Source organism: Homo sapiens, chromosome 6 (assembly GCF_000001405.40).
Source record: "Homo sapiens chromosome 6, GRCh38.p14 Primary Assembly".
NCBI lineage: Eukaryota > Metazoa > Chordata > Mammalia > Primates > Hominidae > Homo > Homo sapiens.
Window position 1 is genome coordinate 2,449,543 of NC_000006.12, and position 17,411 is coordinate 2,466,953.

Sequence of the window (17,411 nt, forward strand, 5' to 3'; positions counted from 1 at the left end):
CTAGAAAGCCCCAGTGTTAGAGGTGTGAGGATCTTTAAAGACCATCTAACCTGACCTCTGCATTTTACACCTCATAAGTCTGAGGTGAGTCACTGGGTCATCTATATAGAAATATTTTAGTTCAACTAGCTGCAGTGTTGCTAATAACTAACTCTGTTTGGTGGCAACACCAATTTTTCAAAGAGATGTTTCATAAAGGACCCATTATAATCCAGGACTATCCAGGATGGAGGGCATCCAGCTGCCGGACTAAGGCTATGAAACAGTTTGCTTTATTGCTTTTAGGGTCTGTTTTATTCATGGAAATGGATGAAGTCACACCCCAAACTGATGAATGGTTAGTTTTGGTCTGTTGATGAATTATTCTTCCATAACATCGGTATGTGAAGTGGATGGTAAACCAGTATACCCAAGGCAAGTCTAAAATGGGGTTTGAGTTTTTCACTGGCTCCTAGAGATGCCATCAAATCAAGTTAACCTCATGGCCAAATTAATATGCATAACAAAATTGACCAACATTTTAGTATAATTAAGCAATGAGAGAGAAACTAAGAGTATCTCAGACACTTTATTTTTCTTTCATAGAAAGTTTCTAAGTTCAATTATTCCGAGTCTTAGGTTTATAAAATTGAAAAGCAACATGAAATAAAACCAAAGCAAAACAAAACACCAAACATGAGTTGACTCTCTTTAAAGGTCCTTAGAGCAACTTCACCATTTGAGCCATGCAGCCAAATGTTTCTAATAAATTGTGGTAAATAGATCTAAAGAAACTAAGTGTGTGTGTGGATGGTAGTCTCTCAGAAATCGAGTCAGAAATTGGTTGCCAAACCATCATCCTTCACCCACGCTGTTAGGTTTGTTTGTCACTACTGTTACTGCGGAGGTAGCCCAGGGGCAACGTAACCTCTGGTTTTCTGAAAGGTGCCGCATAGACTTCTTCTGTGACCAATTTCCATAAAGTTCGTTTAGCAGTTCAAACTTTATTAAGACTCTTGACAAAAACAGCTGCTAGAATTGCAAAGGAATGTAATAAAAAACATAGAGTCAGAAACAACCGGAGTCTATAAAAGCAATATCCAGAGTGGCCAAGTCCCCTTGGGGTGCAAACTGATCCCGGTCTCCATCAGCGCCGCGCGGACCTCCGTGGGACACCCGGGCTCGACTGAAGCGCACAGGCTGGAGGCTCCTGCCATCACCCGGCTGATAACCTAGTTACAGTCCGGGCAGGGTGCCAAGTAAAGAATAGCACAAGCAGGTGGGGCATGGAGTTTTGAAGTGTGAAGAAGCACTGGAGCAAATTCATTTTATGTTGCTTTTATTATGCAGTAAAAAAAAAATCTCCAACACATACTCATTTACAAAAAAAAAAAAAATGTTCAGTTGATTGTAGTTTCCATATTAGCACGAAGGGGCACAAACTGGTGTTAGCCAGAGACTCTGAGATGCATTTGGAAATCTTATATAGCAGGAATTCATGCTGACAATCCACTATTGTTAAGCTGCTCTGATGTGGGGACTCTTTGAAATACACTTCATATGTTATTAGAATGACCTCTAGACCGTTCAGGGAAATATAGGGACACAATCACTGGTATTGCTATCCACATAAAAATGTAATATTCAGAAAATGAAAAATTAGAAAATATAGTTTATTTTTGTGGTTTTGACTGAAATCCCAAGTGAGGCAGTTTGAAGAAGCTGGCGTGATAACGGAGGAAATGGAATCAAAAGTTAGTTCCCTCCCTTGGCCCATCCAACACACAAGCACAGAATGAGGAGAGGACCCTCTCTGGAGACCCTTGGAGTGCAAAATCGAATCTTCAAAGTAGGTTGTAGGAACAGACATTACCAGGACTGGCCAGTGAAGAATCATTTTGGAGGATCTTGGATGAGTGGCCATCTTAGTGTGAAAGCTGGGGGTACAACACCCTGTGTACCGTCTTCAGAGGATGGGATTCCATTTGGGGATATAGAGAGGCAATCATTCAAGATCTCCCAGCTGTACAGCTCCAGGCAGTACTTTTATTTGCAACTTCCCCTGCCCCCTCAATGTGAGTGTTGTCCCCTGGGTTGTCTAATGTGGTGGTCCTGCCATTCACTCATTCATTCATTCAACAAACATGTGAGAGCTGATTGTGTGTCAATCACTGTGCTAAGCAATGGGGATGCAGAGATGCACACACAGCCCCTGTCCTCAAGGACTTCAGAGATCAAACAGAGATAGACAAGGACAATACAAGTTCTATGTCAAAGTTGGGAGCACAGAGGAAGATCAACTAACTCAGATTGCCAGGGTCTGGAAAGGGTTCGAAGGTGAGGTAGCAGTGGACTGAGACCCAGAAATAAAGTCAAGTCAGTGGATAAGGGATGGAGGGTTTTTCAGGCTGAAGGATTCCTGGACAGTCTGGAGCATTTGCGGGGCACTGTGCCTGCTGAGGGAGGAGTGCTAGGTGGTGAGGCTGGAGCACGGGCAGGAGGAGGCTGTGGGGAGAGGCTGGGGAGGCCAGGGAGGCCCTGTGGGGTCCAGGGTGAGATGGCAGCCTCCTTTGCAGGGGGCTCCTGGCTTCTCCCCACTCAGCTTGCACTATGTGAGGGGACCAAAGTCTTGGACAGTGTCTGCTCTCCCCCCTACGTTGCTCATGTTTTATAAGGAAGAGTGAATGGCTCAGTTGTCCAGATTCACCAAGAGGGTCTCAAACTGGGTTCTATAAACACTGGTCAGTGTCCACTGCAGAGGGGCTGAGAAGATGCTGGAAGAGCCGTTTCCCTCACACGCTGAAGACACGATCTGTGAAGACATGAAGGCACATGTTACAGCTAAAACCCAGTTCCACTGGCATCCGCAGGACAGCACAGGCCAATCACAGCTGACACAGATGGTGGGAGGTGCTCGTGCCTCTCACGGTGATCAGAAACATCACCGTTGCAGGTGACGCCACTTCACTTAACACTGGGTGTGGGCGGATTCATCCGCTCTGAAAATTACGTCTTTGGTGGACATCAGCGTGGACTTGGGTGAGGACTCACAACTTTTTTGAGGGTTGTGTGTGTGTGTATGTGAATTGTTTTTATTTTTCACCTTTATTGAGATATAATTCATATACTTTACAACTCACCCATATAAAGTGCATAATTCAGTGGTTTTTGGCATATGATGCTATTCATTTTTTAAAATGGTGGTAAAATAATTTTTTTTTTTTGAGACAGAATCTTGCTCTGTCTTCCAGGCTAGAGTGCAATGGCGCAATCTCAGCTTGTTGCAACCTCCACCTCCTGGGTTCAAGCGACTCTCCTGCCTCAATCCCGAGTAGCTGGGATTACAGGCACCTGCCACCACGCCCAGCTGATTTTTGTATTTTTTAGTAGAGATAGGGTTTCACTATGTTGGCCAGGCTGGTCTCGAACTCCTGACCTCAGGTCATCCACTCGCCTTGGCCTCCCAAAGTGCTGGGATTACAGGTGTGAGCCACCGCACCCAGCCCCTTTAACAATTTTTTAAGTGTACAATCAGCAGCATTAATTACATTCACAAATCTGTGCAACTGTCCCCATATCTAGTTCCCAAATGTTTGCATCATCTCAAGCAGAAACCCTGCCTACTGGTTATTAAACAACGATTTCCCGTTCCTCCCTTTCCCTATCCCCCTCCCCTCACTAACTGAATCCACTTTCTGTCTCTGTGAATTTGCCTATTCTAGGTGTTTCATGGAGGTGGAACTATACACTATGTGTTCTTTTGTGTCTGGCTTATTTCACCTAGCATAATGTTCTCAAGGTGCGACCATGTTGGAGCATGTGTCAGAATGTCCTTCCTTTATATGGTTGAATCACATTCCATTGTACTTATGTGCCACATTTTATTTCTCCATTTATCTGTTGATGGACAGTTGGGTTGTTTCCACCTGTCAGCCATTGTGGATAGTGCTGTGTGGACATGGGTAAGTAACTGTTCAAGGCCCTGCTTTCAATTCGTTTGGGTATATTCCTAAGAGCAGAATTGCTGGGTTATATGGTCATTGTTTTAGTTTTTTGAGGGACCATCCAACTGTTTTCCATAGCAGCTACACCATTTTACATTTCCACCAGCAAGTATGAGGGCTCTAATTTCCCTATATCTTCAGCAATACTTGTTTTCCACTTTTTATTTAACTTTTGTTATAGTCATTTTAGTGGGTGTGAAGTGACATCTCCTTGGGGTTTCATCTGCATTTCCCTAGGCACTAATGATGCTGATTTGTCATGTCCTTATTGGCCATTCGTGTATCTTCTTTGGAGAAATGTCTGTTCAAAGTCTTTGAACATTTTAAAATTGGGTTGTATGTCTTTCTGTTGTTGAGTTGTGGGCATTCTTTACATATTCTGGATGTTAAACCTTTATCAGATACATGATTTCTAAATATATATTTCCCATTCTATAGGTTGTCTTTTCACTTTCTTGCTAATGTCCTTGGATGATCCACAACTTTTCCAAAGCAGGTAAAATAGCTTTTCTCCCTCTCTCCCTCTCCCCATCCCTGGCTTTCTTGCTGCTTCCCTTCTCTGTGAAGGCAGACAATTAAGTGACTGTGGGAAGGAAGGGGCTTTGATGTGCTGGGACACCAAGGGAGACTTTCTCAATCTGGCTTTCTCAGAGAGGCCCTTTCTTTCCTGAGGGTATCACCCTGCAGAATATAAAATTCCTCATAGTGAATTAATCATTTCCCATCTACAGAGGCTACTTTTCAAAGTAAATATCCCAATCATCTCTCACTCCTGGGTACAGTCCTAAGCTCTGCTCAGCCACATCTGCTTCTAGCATCCCATGTGTCAGAACGCCCACGTTCCGGGGCAGAAACTCCACCGTGCAATCACAGAGCAAGGCTGCTTCTAAGACCTTCATGTCTCCGCTGCTTCATAATGGGGAAGAGATGTGCCTGAATGTTTCAAATTAAGACGGGGTGTGGGAACCTAGTCCTAAAATGAAATGACGGGAACCTCAAAGCTGGGGTCATTGCAAAGTATACTGTTCATGTTTTCCATCTGAGTCCAAGACTGAGCTTGGCATTCTGCGGAGAGTAGTCCAGTTTCATTAATGGGGTCAGGACCACTCCCACTCCTGGAGCCCCTTCTCAGCTGGGTGAGTGCCCACACCTGCCAGCAGCCCTCCCCGTCTGTCAGCTGTCCCCAACTCCAGAGGTCCTGAAGGTGACAAGAACAGATTCATTCCCCAGGACTGTATCAGTGAAACTCGGCCAGGGCCTTGTGCTTTTTTTTTTTTTTAAACATTTATTATGGAAAATTCTAAGCACATGCAAAAGAAAACCTCCAGATTCCCACAGTCAGCTTCAACAATTATCCACGCATGGCCAATCTTGTTTCAATTTTACCCCCACCTTCTGCCCCCTGCTCAGTACCATTCTGAAGAAAATTCCAGGCCTCATATAAGTTCAGTCATACAGGTTTCAGATTATATATCTAAAAGACGAGGACTTGTAAATATAAAGACCCAAATCCATTGTCACATGTCAACAATATTAACAATGATTCCTGATCATCATCCCATATCCAGTCATGGCTCACATTTCCAAATGTCTCATCAGTGTCTATTAATGATCCTGTTTGTTTGTTTGAATCATGGATCCAAGAAAGATTCACGCGTTGCATTTAGTCAATATGTTTCTGATAACCTGTAGCTACACTGGGTGTTAAATAAGCTGAATCTGGTCCTTGGGAGAGGGGGTGGCAGGTAGTGTGTTCTGGAGAGGTGGACCTCATCACAGCAGAGGGCCCTGAAGTGGGTCTTCAGGAAATGTTTGCAGGAGGTTGTTCTCAGAGAAAAGTGTTAAGATGGAGGATGGAGTGGGGGGTTGGGGGAAGTTTAGGTGGGATATTTACTTTCTAGCATTTAACATTTTTATAGTGAGACTATATTTGTACATTATGTATGAAATTTAAAAGTGAGTTTAAAAATAAAGAAGAGAATAAAATGAAGACAGTGCCTCAACCAGGTTGGCAGGTTCTGGAGATGTGGCTTGGAGAAAGAGATGTACATGCAAGACACAACAAGAACAAGTAAGGCCCTGAGCAGAGAAGGCCAGGAGTTCCCTCCATCCTTTGTCTCTTCCTTGGGCTAGACGGACAGCAGAGAGGAGGACCTGGGCATTCTTTGGTCCTTGGGCATGAGCTCCACCCTCCTTCTTTTGCTAGACCTGTGGACATACCATTTTCTGTACATAGATTTCAACCCTCCACCTTACCCTGCTGTGATTTTTAGGATCCTGTCCCCCATGGCTCATGAGATATTGGATGGAATTGCAAGAATCAGATAGAGATGAAAAACTACTAGCTCTGATGAAAAATGCAGGACCGGCAGCCACAAGGGCTTTTTAAATTAAAAAAAAAAAAAAAACGCTTGGAAAGGTCAAACTCCCCATGAGCCTCAAGCACAGTCCTAGCTGCCATCCCCCACCCTGCTGGAGAGAGCAGGGCAGGACCCCTGACCAGGCCTGAAGATGGGGATCCCAGGAGAGGCAGAGGTGCGCTTGCCCTTACTTCCTTCTCCCAAATGAACCCGTTAAACAGAGGTCGCCATTCTCTGGGGAGGAGAGGGGAGGGATGGAGCGAAGCTGCAAGACTCCTCCCCAGCTTTTCCCCGGAGGAGTGTAGTGGAAATTTCATTCCCTCTTAGAAAACCTAAGGACGTAGGAATAATGCTGCCTCTGGCTTAGCCTCTGTGCTTCATTTAACGAACTGGAAATGTCTTTCGCTCTCCTGTGACTGAAAAGAGAAACAGTCTTTTAAATACCTCATCCCAACCACCATGCCACACCACCATATGGTTCTCTAGGGCTGACTAGGAGGGGTCTGTGTTCAGACTCTGCCCTCAGGGCCTGGGGATTTAGTGAGGAGAAACAGCATAGACTTTAAGGTGAGTGACTGAATGTATTTGGCTGCTGTGTGTCGTTAAGATAATATCCTAATGATGTAACCAGGAGACCAGCAGAAAGCCCCTGGTTTAGATGTTCTCTTTGGATTCAAAAGCTTCATTTCTAAGGCAAGTTGTCTCCAAATGGAAGATCCAGTACTGTTCTGTTGCATGTGGACAATGAAACACTAAATCTACAGCTGTGGAGATACAGATCCCATTGTACACAATTTTTTAAATAGACTCTATTTTTTAAAGCAGTTTTAGGTTCACAACTTGAGGGGAGAGCACAGAGATTTCCCATGCACCCCCGTCCCCCTCTCAGCCTCCCCGACCATCAGCATCCCCCACCCGTGTGAGACGTTACTTACAATGGATGAGCCTGCATTGATGCATCATTATCACTCAGAGCACATGGTTTGCATTAGGGCTCAGTCTTGGAGTTATATTTAATACATTCTATGGTTTGAGTAAATGTCTAGTGACATTATCCACCACTGTAGTATCACACAGAGCAGTCTCACCACCCTAAAGATAATCCGTGTTCCAACTACTCATCCCTCGCTCCCCTCAACCCCATTATCAAAAGACAAAATTACCACAAATATAGTTCAAAGATCGAATTGACTTTTACTTGTGATTCTAGAATCGGGCAACATCGCATTCTGTAAAGTAGAATGGGTGCTCCAATGAGATGAGCAGGGGCAGTTAGTTGTTTTTGTTTGTTTGTTTTTTTTGTGTGTGTTTTTTTTTTGTTTTTGTTTTTGTTTTGACGGAGTTTCGCTCTTGATGCCCAGGGTGGAGTACAATGGCGCGATCTAGGCTCACTGCAACCTCCACCTCCGAGGTTCAGGCAATTCTCATGCCTCAGCCTCCCGAGTAGCTGGGATTACAGGCATCTGCCACTACGCCCAGCTAATTTTTGTATTTTTGGTAGAGACAGGGTTTCACCATGTTGGCCAGGTTGGTCTCGAACTCCTGACCACAGGTGATCTGCCCACCTCGGCATCCCAAAGTGTTGGGATTACAGGCGTGAGCCACTGTGCCCAGCCTGAGGTGGTTAGCTCTATAGGCAGAAAAGGGCTGAGGAAATCAGAGATGGGACAAAAAAGCAGATTGGGTGCATCCAAGTTACTTTCTTTGTAGGGTTAAAACAGAGGGGACTTCCTTATTACGAGGATTCAGGTTGACTGTAATATCCTGGGTTTTTGGGGAAAACCGACCTGTTTCAAAGTTGAGCTTGATTATGTGGCGCTGAGCACGAGGGACTCCATTCTGGCTTGGTGTGGTCTGCTGGGGACTGGCTTTGTCCAAACCAACGGCCTCCTGTAAAATGTATTTACCACCCACTGGCTTTTCAGATCCTTGAGTTTTGACTCCTCTTTCCAGGCTCGGGCATCTTTTATGTCTTCCAGACCACTAGGGCTCTAGAGTTTCTATCTTTAGGCCTGGAGAGTTTTCTGAGAATTTCCATTCCCAAGGTTGCCCCTCACTTAGCCTGCAACAGTATCCCCTTTCTTTGTCTCATTAACTGCCATTGTAAGCTAATTTATTCATGTAAATCAAGGAATCAAAAAAAAAAAAAAGAAAAAAAAAAACCAAACATACCAACTGAGTCAGGTGAGAGCAGAGAAATAAAAGTGTATGGTAATGTTATGGTAATAGCATTTTGATTATTCAAAGAGCATTATTTTTCCCCAAGGCTATGAACAAAGGTTGTTAATTTATATGATGGGTAGTACTCTGTCAGAATATAGTTATTTATTTTAATTTTATAATGGCAACTTCTAGGGTTAAGTCATCTTAGGGCACAATTACAGAGGAATAACAATTAGTTAATTGAAATATGTGACTAGTATAAAATTACCAGTTTTAAAATCAGTAAAACATATGACGATCTTTCTTAACTTATACAAATGAAGACTGAAAGGTTGTGTTGTCTTGGCCAATGACCCAGTTGCAAAAGTAGAGGGTAATTCAACCTCATGCCATTCCCCAGTTCAAGCTGTGATGATGGATGTCCACTACACTTATTTTATGTTGACATAGAGTGGTTAACCTAAGCACAAATGTTTGATAATAACAGTGTATATAGCAGGCCTGGACATATGAGGCTTGTTCACTGTTTCAGAATTAACTTTTGCAGTGATAAAAGCCAGAGTTGTGGAGAGAGAAGAAGGAGAAGCAGAAGGAGAAAGAGGAGAAGAAAAGGAAAAATTCTTGGCATAAATTGTTCATCAACAGGCGATTTTCATTAAAACAAGGCTAGGATCAACTCTGGAAAGCTTGATAAATCCCTGATAAGGTGCCCAGATGTTCTAATGAACTTTGTTGGGAGTTTTGCCATTTCAAGTTTATGCGTTTTGCCCAAAGGCCAATGATTGGGATGGCCTCAGCATCTGATACTGATTCTTCAAAAAGCGCCCCCTCCTTGCCCTGGGACATTGAGTGCCTGCTGGAGAGGTTGCAAATTGGATCAGCCTAACAGAAACTGCAGTCAGGCCTGGAAGCAATATTCAGGCTCACTTTTCCAGGAATAGTGTTCCAAGAAAGAAAGGATTCTTGGGATCTTTTCACTGCCTGACAGTGATGAGTATGTTTTTCCGGACAGAGTGCAGGCTGCCTTCTAAGACCCCCAAAACATTTTCAAGTCTGCTTCTTGAAGGCCCGAACACAGAAGATTCACTCAAAAACCAATTTATCCACAGTTCTTTGGTTGATCTCAAGCAGTCTCTCTCCTGGAGGAACTTACTGTCCTATAGAGACATGTGCCAACTGTCGAAGACCGTGACGTGGCCAAAGCACAATAAGACTGTTATCTTTCTAAGGCTCCGAGAGCCTCAGCCTAAAGCTCCCATGTGGGGCTTGATGGCTGCTAACACCCAGGACTCTGTTCCCCTGTCTTGCACGTGCATGGGCTACTAGATCTACTGAATTCATTTCACCAAAGAAAGATTCGTCATCAGTTGTTCATCCTAATCTGATTGCTTAAATTTTGTAAAATTTACAACAAGGAAGAAGGAAATGGACTTGGAGAACATAACCAGATATCAGTTGCCTGAGCTACAAAATGATTTTTTAAAAAGTTGGTTCTCATTTGGAATCTGGTTCAAAATATAAGACCAAAGATATTCTATTGTCCTACAAAAGGGCGTCAAGGCTCATACATGAATTTGGAGATATTTTACTTCAAATAAAAGTATGTTCTGTCTTAAAAAAAAAACAAACTGATCAGCCTTCACTTGAAGTTAACTACAAAAAAAGGAATATATAAATAGCAGGATTGGCTGGTCTAGCCCACTGTTCTGAATGCCATATTGCTGTTGCATTCATTTCATACAGTAATAGGCTGTTAGATCTGAAAGGAAGCTTAGCCCCAGAATGGCAAATCACTTTCATTAAAAAAGCCAATAACAGTGGGTTGGTGGTGGCTGCCTGGAGCCCAGAATTGAGAAGGATTCTGGGTTCACGTCGGAGCCCAAGGGCGTGATCAATGGAAGATGTCTGTCATGGACGTGGACTTGGGGAGGGAGGGCACGCCTCATAGGTGCCAGCCTTCTTTTCTTATGGATAAGAAACCGGATGCCCAGAAGCCACTGACATACAATAAACCCAATGTGTGCTCCTGGCAGAGCTTAGAGGACAACCCCGTGTTTTCCCCCCACGTAGGGGAGCACACACCGCAAAGGAGGAGCTGAGTCAACCAGGGGAGCGAACAGCCGGCAGGGAGGACACGCACACGGATCAGCCCCGGCTGCACACACCACACCGTGCACTGGGGAGCTGGTATGGCCCCAGCCCAGTTTCCTGTCCACTAGAGGCCTTTCCTTGGCGGTGGATGGGGACTGGAGAGCAGGACTTGACCGAGCAGAGAATGAGGGAGGGATGTGTCCTGGCATATGGGAGAAGAAGTATTCCTTGCACGAGTGGCAGCGATTAGTCACACTTGGTTCTAACCATGCTTCCAAGCCTGGCTTATCTTTAACACCCAGTCTACCTCAAGACAAACAATATAAAGGAGAGAAAAACACTTTGGGGTCATTTAGAATTACTTGCATCACAGATCCAATGACAAAGGCAGCCATCGAGCCGCAGAGCAGGGAGAGGAGGCTGGGTGCCAGGTCCGCAGCTTGGCTGCCAGCTCCTCGCCTTGTGCAAAAAGTGCTTTTGTTAGACATTCCTTGTCAGGACTTAGAAACTGATGGTTTGTTCCAGAAGTTCTTTATCCTGAGATAGCTCTAAACTAGGTAGCTTGCCCCAAACAGTCAAAAAAAAAAAAAAAAACACATTAAAAATTGCAGCCTCTGAATTGAGCTGGCAAGAATAGTATATTTGGGAACAATAAAATTTCATTATGCTAATGAAGTAGCAAAATTTGAGGCCTAGAAGAATAATTTTAAAAAATTTAGCTGGATTCTAATGGAACAGAAGACCAACTGTTTCAGGACAGCAGAGCAAACGCTAACAAGTGTTCATGGGCGGAAATCACCAGTCTTATAATCTACTTGGTGGAAATGATGTTTCTGAATTCTGTTCTGAAATCTTAACAGAACATGGTTCCTCTGTTTTGGTGAACTCCTATCCAACGGTGGGGTGTTTCAGGTGTTGACAGCCAGCCATGTTCTGATGTGAGGAATGTTCCCAGCTCCTCTCTGTTCCCTGTGACCTTGGTTTAGGTTGACATCTTAGTGTGAACACTCTTGCCACCACGTGCCATGTCCAAGCCTGACCGACCCCTGCAGGCCCTGAAGAAATTCTCTCTTATGAAGCCTTGCCTCATAGTCTCACTCACTGAGGCTCTCTGTCCGTTGTTTGAACATTTGCCATTCCATTTGCCCTGCACTGATTTTTAATGCCACCCACGGCTTGTACAAAATAGTGACTTCGGCTACAGACCTGTGGTGCGTGAGCAGGTTTGTCCAAAAGTGCCCCTGGGGGCTCTGACTTTGCGTTGTCTGATAGATAAACTCTCTGGTACCAGGGGGTTCCCTACTTTTTTCAGTAGAAGAAGCTGCTCCAAACCTTGTTCCCTCAGGACTGGGGATTCCTCCCATTGCAGGAGGGACCACAGATTCCCACAGGTGCATAAATTCTCCAGGCTCAGCTGGGCACGGTGGCTCATGCCTGTAATCCCAGCACTCTGGGAGGCCGAGGCAGGTGGATCACGAGGTCAGGAGTTCGAGGCCAACATAGTGAAACCACATCTCTACTAAAAATACAAAATCAGCCGGGACTACATGCCTGTAGTCCCAGCTACTTGGGAGGCTGAGGCAGGACAATCACTTGAACCCGGGAGGCAGAGGTTGTGGTGAGAAGAGATCACGCCACTGCACTCCAGCCTGGGCAACAGAGCGAGACTCCGTTCAAATAAATAAATAAATAAATAATTCTCCAGGCTCAGGGTGGCTGATGTTCAACAGGTGTCTCATCCTGTAAAGAGCCGACAGAGCGAACCCAGACTGCCTGGCACCGAGCAGGCTGTCGATGCCCCCATGGACAGGGCTGCTTTGCTGTGGGGGTCCCTGTGAAGAGCGAGGCCTGCGTCCCCTCCTAGAACAAAGTCCACGCCTCAGGTCCTGCTGTGCCCTGGGCTGGCACATTGCCCTGTGGGGTGTCCGGAAGCTCAGGGGGTCCTGCGCCTGTTCTTCTTCTGTTGACCCGGGCACAAGTGAAGTCTCCTGAGAAATCCCGCTCAGGTCATACTGTGCAACTTCCAGACGTCCTCCTGCACCTCTGCAGACGGGGGGTGGAGGCTCACAGAGGGTCTCGCTGGGCATGAAGATACCCATCCTGTGTGACCACGTCTAATCTCCCCTGGTGGATCAGGGATGGTTTAGCCGGATGGGGCCATGGTAGCTCCTATGACCTGGTGAGAAAGCTGAGGAAGGGAGACTCGGGGAGATCCTGGGAGATCACAGGGTTACTGTGAAGGTCACAGCGATGAAGAAATGAAGGCTAAGGAAGGGGGCTCGGATGGCAAACCCACAAAATGAGACCCTGAAGAGTCCTGGTCCAGCCCCCACATGCACTTGAGCAAAGGCACTCACAGTCTCTGAGCCTCACCGATGGCCTGGAAACTCAGGCTTCTGCCCGCCTGTGATGCGAAGTCCTCCTCTTCTCTGCGTCCGCCGCCAGTCGCCCCTTTTCCTCGGCACCCTCTTCGCTTCGGCATCCATGAGCCCTCTCTGGTTTCATCCCGTCCTGCATCCCAGTGACTGTGGCTTTTCCCTTCTCCATCTGCCTCTTCCACCCTCTCCTCCTCTCAGGCCATGTCCCCTCCTTACTGGCCTGGAACCTCTCACTCTTCAGGGCCAAACATGCCCAGGACAGCTGCCACCTCTGGGCACTGTGGGCCAGCGCAGGGCCTGGGGCCTCCTTGGCATTTGCTGAATTTAATCGAGAAGAAAACAAAGGTATGTACCAAGCGAGCACCATGGTAAGGCACCACGCACTTCCCAGGGTATCCACAGGTACCCTAGGGACAGAGGGGCACAGCTGCAAAGGCGTGAGTGCCTGGAGAGCAAGGAGCTTCCTGCAGAGCAGACTGCATCACAGGCCTCCAACTGCAGAAGCGGAAGGAGCCCGGGGGCCCAGCTGCGGGCTCTGAAACCCATCACTGGCTTCCGCCTGTCCTTGGAGGCTGTGCTTCCTACAGGCAGCCGGGATACTGAGGCAGTATCCCTCCTGGGAAATGGGGAATTCCTCTGGTAGGCACTGTTGGCTTGAGAGCTATCTGATGGCCCCTCAGAAACATTCTTAGACTATGGAGTGGTCCGGAGGCCTTCCCCAACCCTCGCCCCCCTCTCTCCTTCACTCGGTCTGACTTGCATCATAGCCTGGTGGCTCCCCCAGTCGTACCTGGCTCTCCCATTCTTAGGTGTTTCCCCTTATAGTGCTTGCATATTTCACAGGTCTTGGTACCTGCATCTGTGGGGACCTGGACTAACACAGTGGGCCCTGCATCTGACCGGTGTTGGCAGACACAGGGAGGAAGCCTCACATGCTGACCCTCAGGGCTGGACAGGGATCTTGAACCCTGTGACAAGTCAGTAAATGTCTGTTGTTTCCCACTCCTGGGTAGTAACCACAGGCATGGCCAGTGTCTGTAGAGTGACCGTTAAAAATTCCTTAGACATGCCCAAGGAAAATGTGATAGAAAATAACAAGCACGCTCTGAGATTAGGGCAGGAAAAGGATTGATACAGAGTTTATTGACACAGAGGTATTCTGCTAATTATACAAGTCTCTGCTTTTTTTTTTTTTTCCAACGGAGTCTTGCTCTGTCGCCAGGCTGGAGTGCAATGGCGTGATCTCGGCTCACTGCAGCTTCCGCCTCCTGGGTTCAAGTGATTCTCCTGCCTCAGCCTCCTGACTAGCTGGGACTACAGGTGCCCACCACCACGCCTGGCTAATTTTTTGTATTTTTAGTAGAGATGGGGTTTCACCATATTAGTCAGGATGGTCTCGATCTCCTGACCTCATGATCCACCCACGTCAGCCTCCCAAAGCGCTGGGATTAAGGGTGTGAGCCACAGCGCCTGGCCAAATCTCTGCTTTTTTTAAAGCTGTGAAGACCCGTCTAATTAGTTAAGATGTATGGCAAGCATGTCACAGACATTTTTTCAGCTAGCTCAAGCCATTCTACTTTATAAAAGCATTCCAGGAGTACCTGTTAGGAAATTCAGATGATCAAATGGAGACTGTCAAGAATTCTTTCCAGATACTAATGCCCAACATCCACTAGGCACTCTTGGAACCATGACTGATTAGAATAATAATTCTAAGTTAAATGGTGAAAATGCTGGGTCTGCAGAGGAACGGGGTTGGATTCCCTCGGCAGGAGCTGACCATTTGTTCAGTGGGGTGTGGAACAGTTCATGGAAGTGGGGAGACGGGCACTGATCTAGCCACTTCATAGGTACAATTCTTACAGCAACGTCATGACATATTTATTATGATGCCCACTTTGCAGATATGGGTGCAAATGAGGCTCAGGGTGGCTAACTTTCACAGTCAGTCAATAAAATGGAACTCCATGTCTGTTCTGTCTAGTCCTCCCTGCATTCGTACTTCCAAGGGCCTGCATTCCTCCCACCAGATGAGAAGATGCTAAAAGGCCCTGCAGAGCACAGGCGGAGTCCATGCCCATCCACTTCTCTGTCCTTGGCACCCAGCCTCTGTCTGGCACAGACAAGATCCCCCGAAATGTTGCTGAGTCGAAGGGAATTGAGGGACAGTTTAATGAAGGGCCATCTTTCCAGTGTTTAGAAACCATGTTTGCTTATTTGTTTTTGCTTCAGCTTAATTTTCCTTTAAGCCTCCACCTGTGGGTCTCTGTGGTTTTCAAAGTTTAGACTAGTTCAGCAACTACAGGATTGCCCTGCCCTGGGGTGATCTTACTTCCAAAGAGCAGGCACAGTTACCAAACTCTGTGCCCTGTTCTTTGGTCTAGAAAACCTAGTCGCTCAGCAAAGCCGGTTGTCAGCCCTCGTGGTCTGAATTATACCCAACTGACCTGAAGGAACCCTGGTAGCCCTAAAAATGGAATTCTCTTGGGTGAGTGGGTCAATACCTCTTTTGAGTTGAATTTTCTTCCATTTCTTAGAAACGGCCTTTTGAGAAATGTTTTAAAAGTGTATCTTTTCTTAATACAAAAGAAATACGTTCATTATAGGAACATTAGATATGAACATAAGCAAGCAAAAGAGAATTTTAAAACACTCATGATTTCTTTTGTTGTTGTTGTTTTGAGATGGAGTCTCACTCTGTCACCCAGGCTGTAGTACAGTGGTGTGATCTCAGCTCACTGCAACCTGGGTTCAAGCTATTCTCATGCCCCAGCCTCCCGAGTAGCTGGGATTACAGGCACCCGCCACCACACCCGGCTAATTTTTGTATTTTTAGTAGAGATGATGTTTCACCGTGTTGGCCAGGCTGGTCTCAAACTCCTGACCTCAAGTGATCTGCCCGCCTCGCCCTCCCAAAGTGCTGGGATTACACCGCGCCCGTCCTGATTTCTTTTTTTAAACTTACCACAGTTATGACTATATAACACTCATGATTTCATCATCCAAGACTCACTGTTATTTACACCCCAGCACGTACCTGTCCAGCCCCTTTATACATTTGTCCCAAGTGCCCCGTAATGTTTCAGTGGTCCCTGGGTGCTGACATTGCTCTCCATGCACGCTGATGCTGGAGGTGGACATTTATGATTTTAAGATATTCAGAGCAGATATTGGTAAATATCTGTTTTACTACCTGTCAGAACATAGAGTGATAATCATATCTGGTTTTTTTGAGACGGAGTTTTGCTCTTGTTGCCCAGGCTGGAGTGCAATGGCATGATCTCAGCTCACCGCAACCTCCACCTCCCGGGTTCAAGCGATTCTCCTGTCTCAGCCTCCCGAGTAGCTGGGATTACAGGCATGTGCCACCATGCCCCACTAATTTTGTATTTTTAGTAGAGATGGGGTTTCTCCATGTTGGCCAGGCTGGTTGCGAACTCCTGACCTCAGGTGATCTGCCCACCTTGGCCTCCCAAAGTGCTAGGATTACAGGCGAGAGCCACCGTGCCCGGCCTGTAATATCTTTTTTTTAAGTTAAAATTATGTTGTGAACATCTTTCTACATTCACCAGTTATCATTGTAGCGGCAGGATGGAACTTCCCGTTCTGCAGGAGGTCACTTACTCACCAAGTCCTCTGTTCCTGGATATTTATGGTTGATGCTTTTCCCCACTCTTTTAAATTACAAACGATGCTTTCAGGAAAACCATTTTACTACATCTTTTTGTTTCCCCCCCTAGGATATATTCCTCAAAGTAGAATTTCCAGGTGAAAGGGGATGCAGATTTTTAAAGCTTCAAATAGTCATACCAAATACAGTTCCGGAAAAGTTGTTCTTACTCACATTCCCACAACATTGATGAGAGAGTCTATGTTCCGACGACAGGCTCTTGCAGCTCCATGTGTGGGCGTGTATGTATGTACGTAAAATTGCCAACTTGATAAACTATTTTATTTTTGAAAATTTGGAATCCTATTGTTCCCTGTTACTTTTTAAAACACAGCTGGTTTGCGAGAAAATAAGCCTATCTTCCCCAAGAAATGAATTCCTGGTCTTTGATGTCTCTGGCTGGAAATACCTGTGTTTTAAAATGTGAGTTTTATTGTTATTCGGGTATGTAAGGCCAACAGACCAGGAGAAGACTACCACTGAAGAGGCAGCTTATTACACACGGTTCCAAAGAGGAGGGGCGTGCCGTGTCATGGGGGCAATGAAAGCACCAGGCTGGTTGGGAGGTAGAGGAAGGGGAGAAACTGTGGCCAGAGGCTTCTCTGGGGTTTCAGCAGGAAGGAACAGGTAAGGAGGGATAAGCAGGCTGAGGATCGGCCAGGTGGAATAATTTCAGCAGGCTCTGGCTCATAAGACTGTTCCTTGTTGTCTGGTACATGGACCTGGGTGTATCAGGGAAGGTGGATGGTGGCCCAGAGCATGAGAG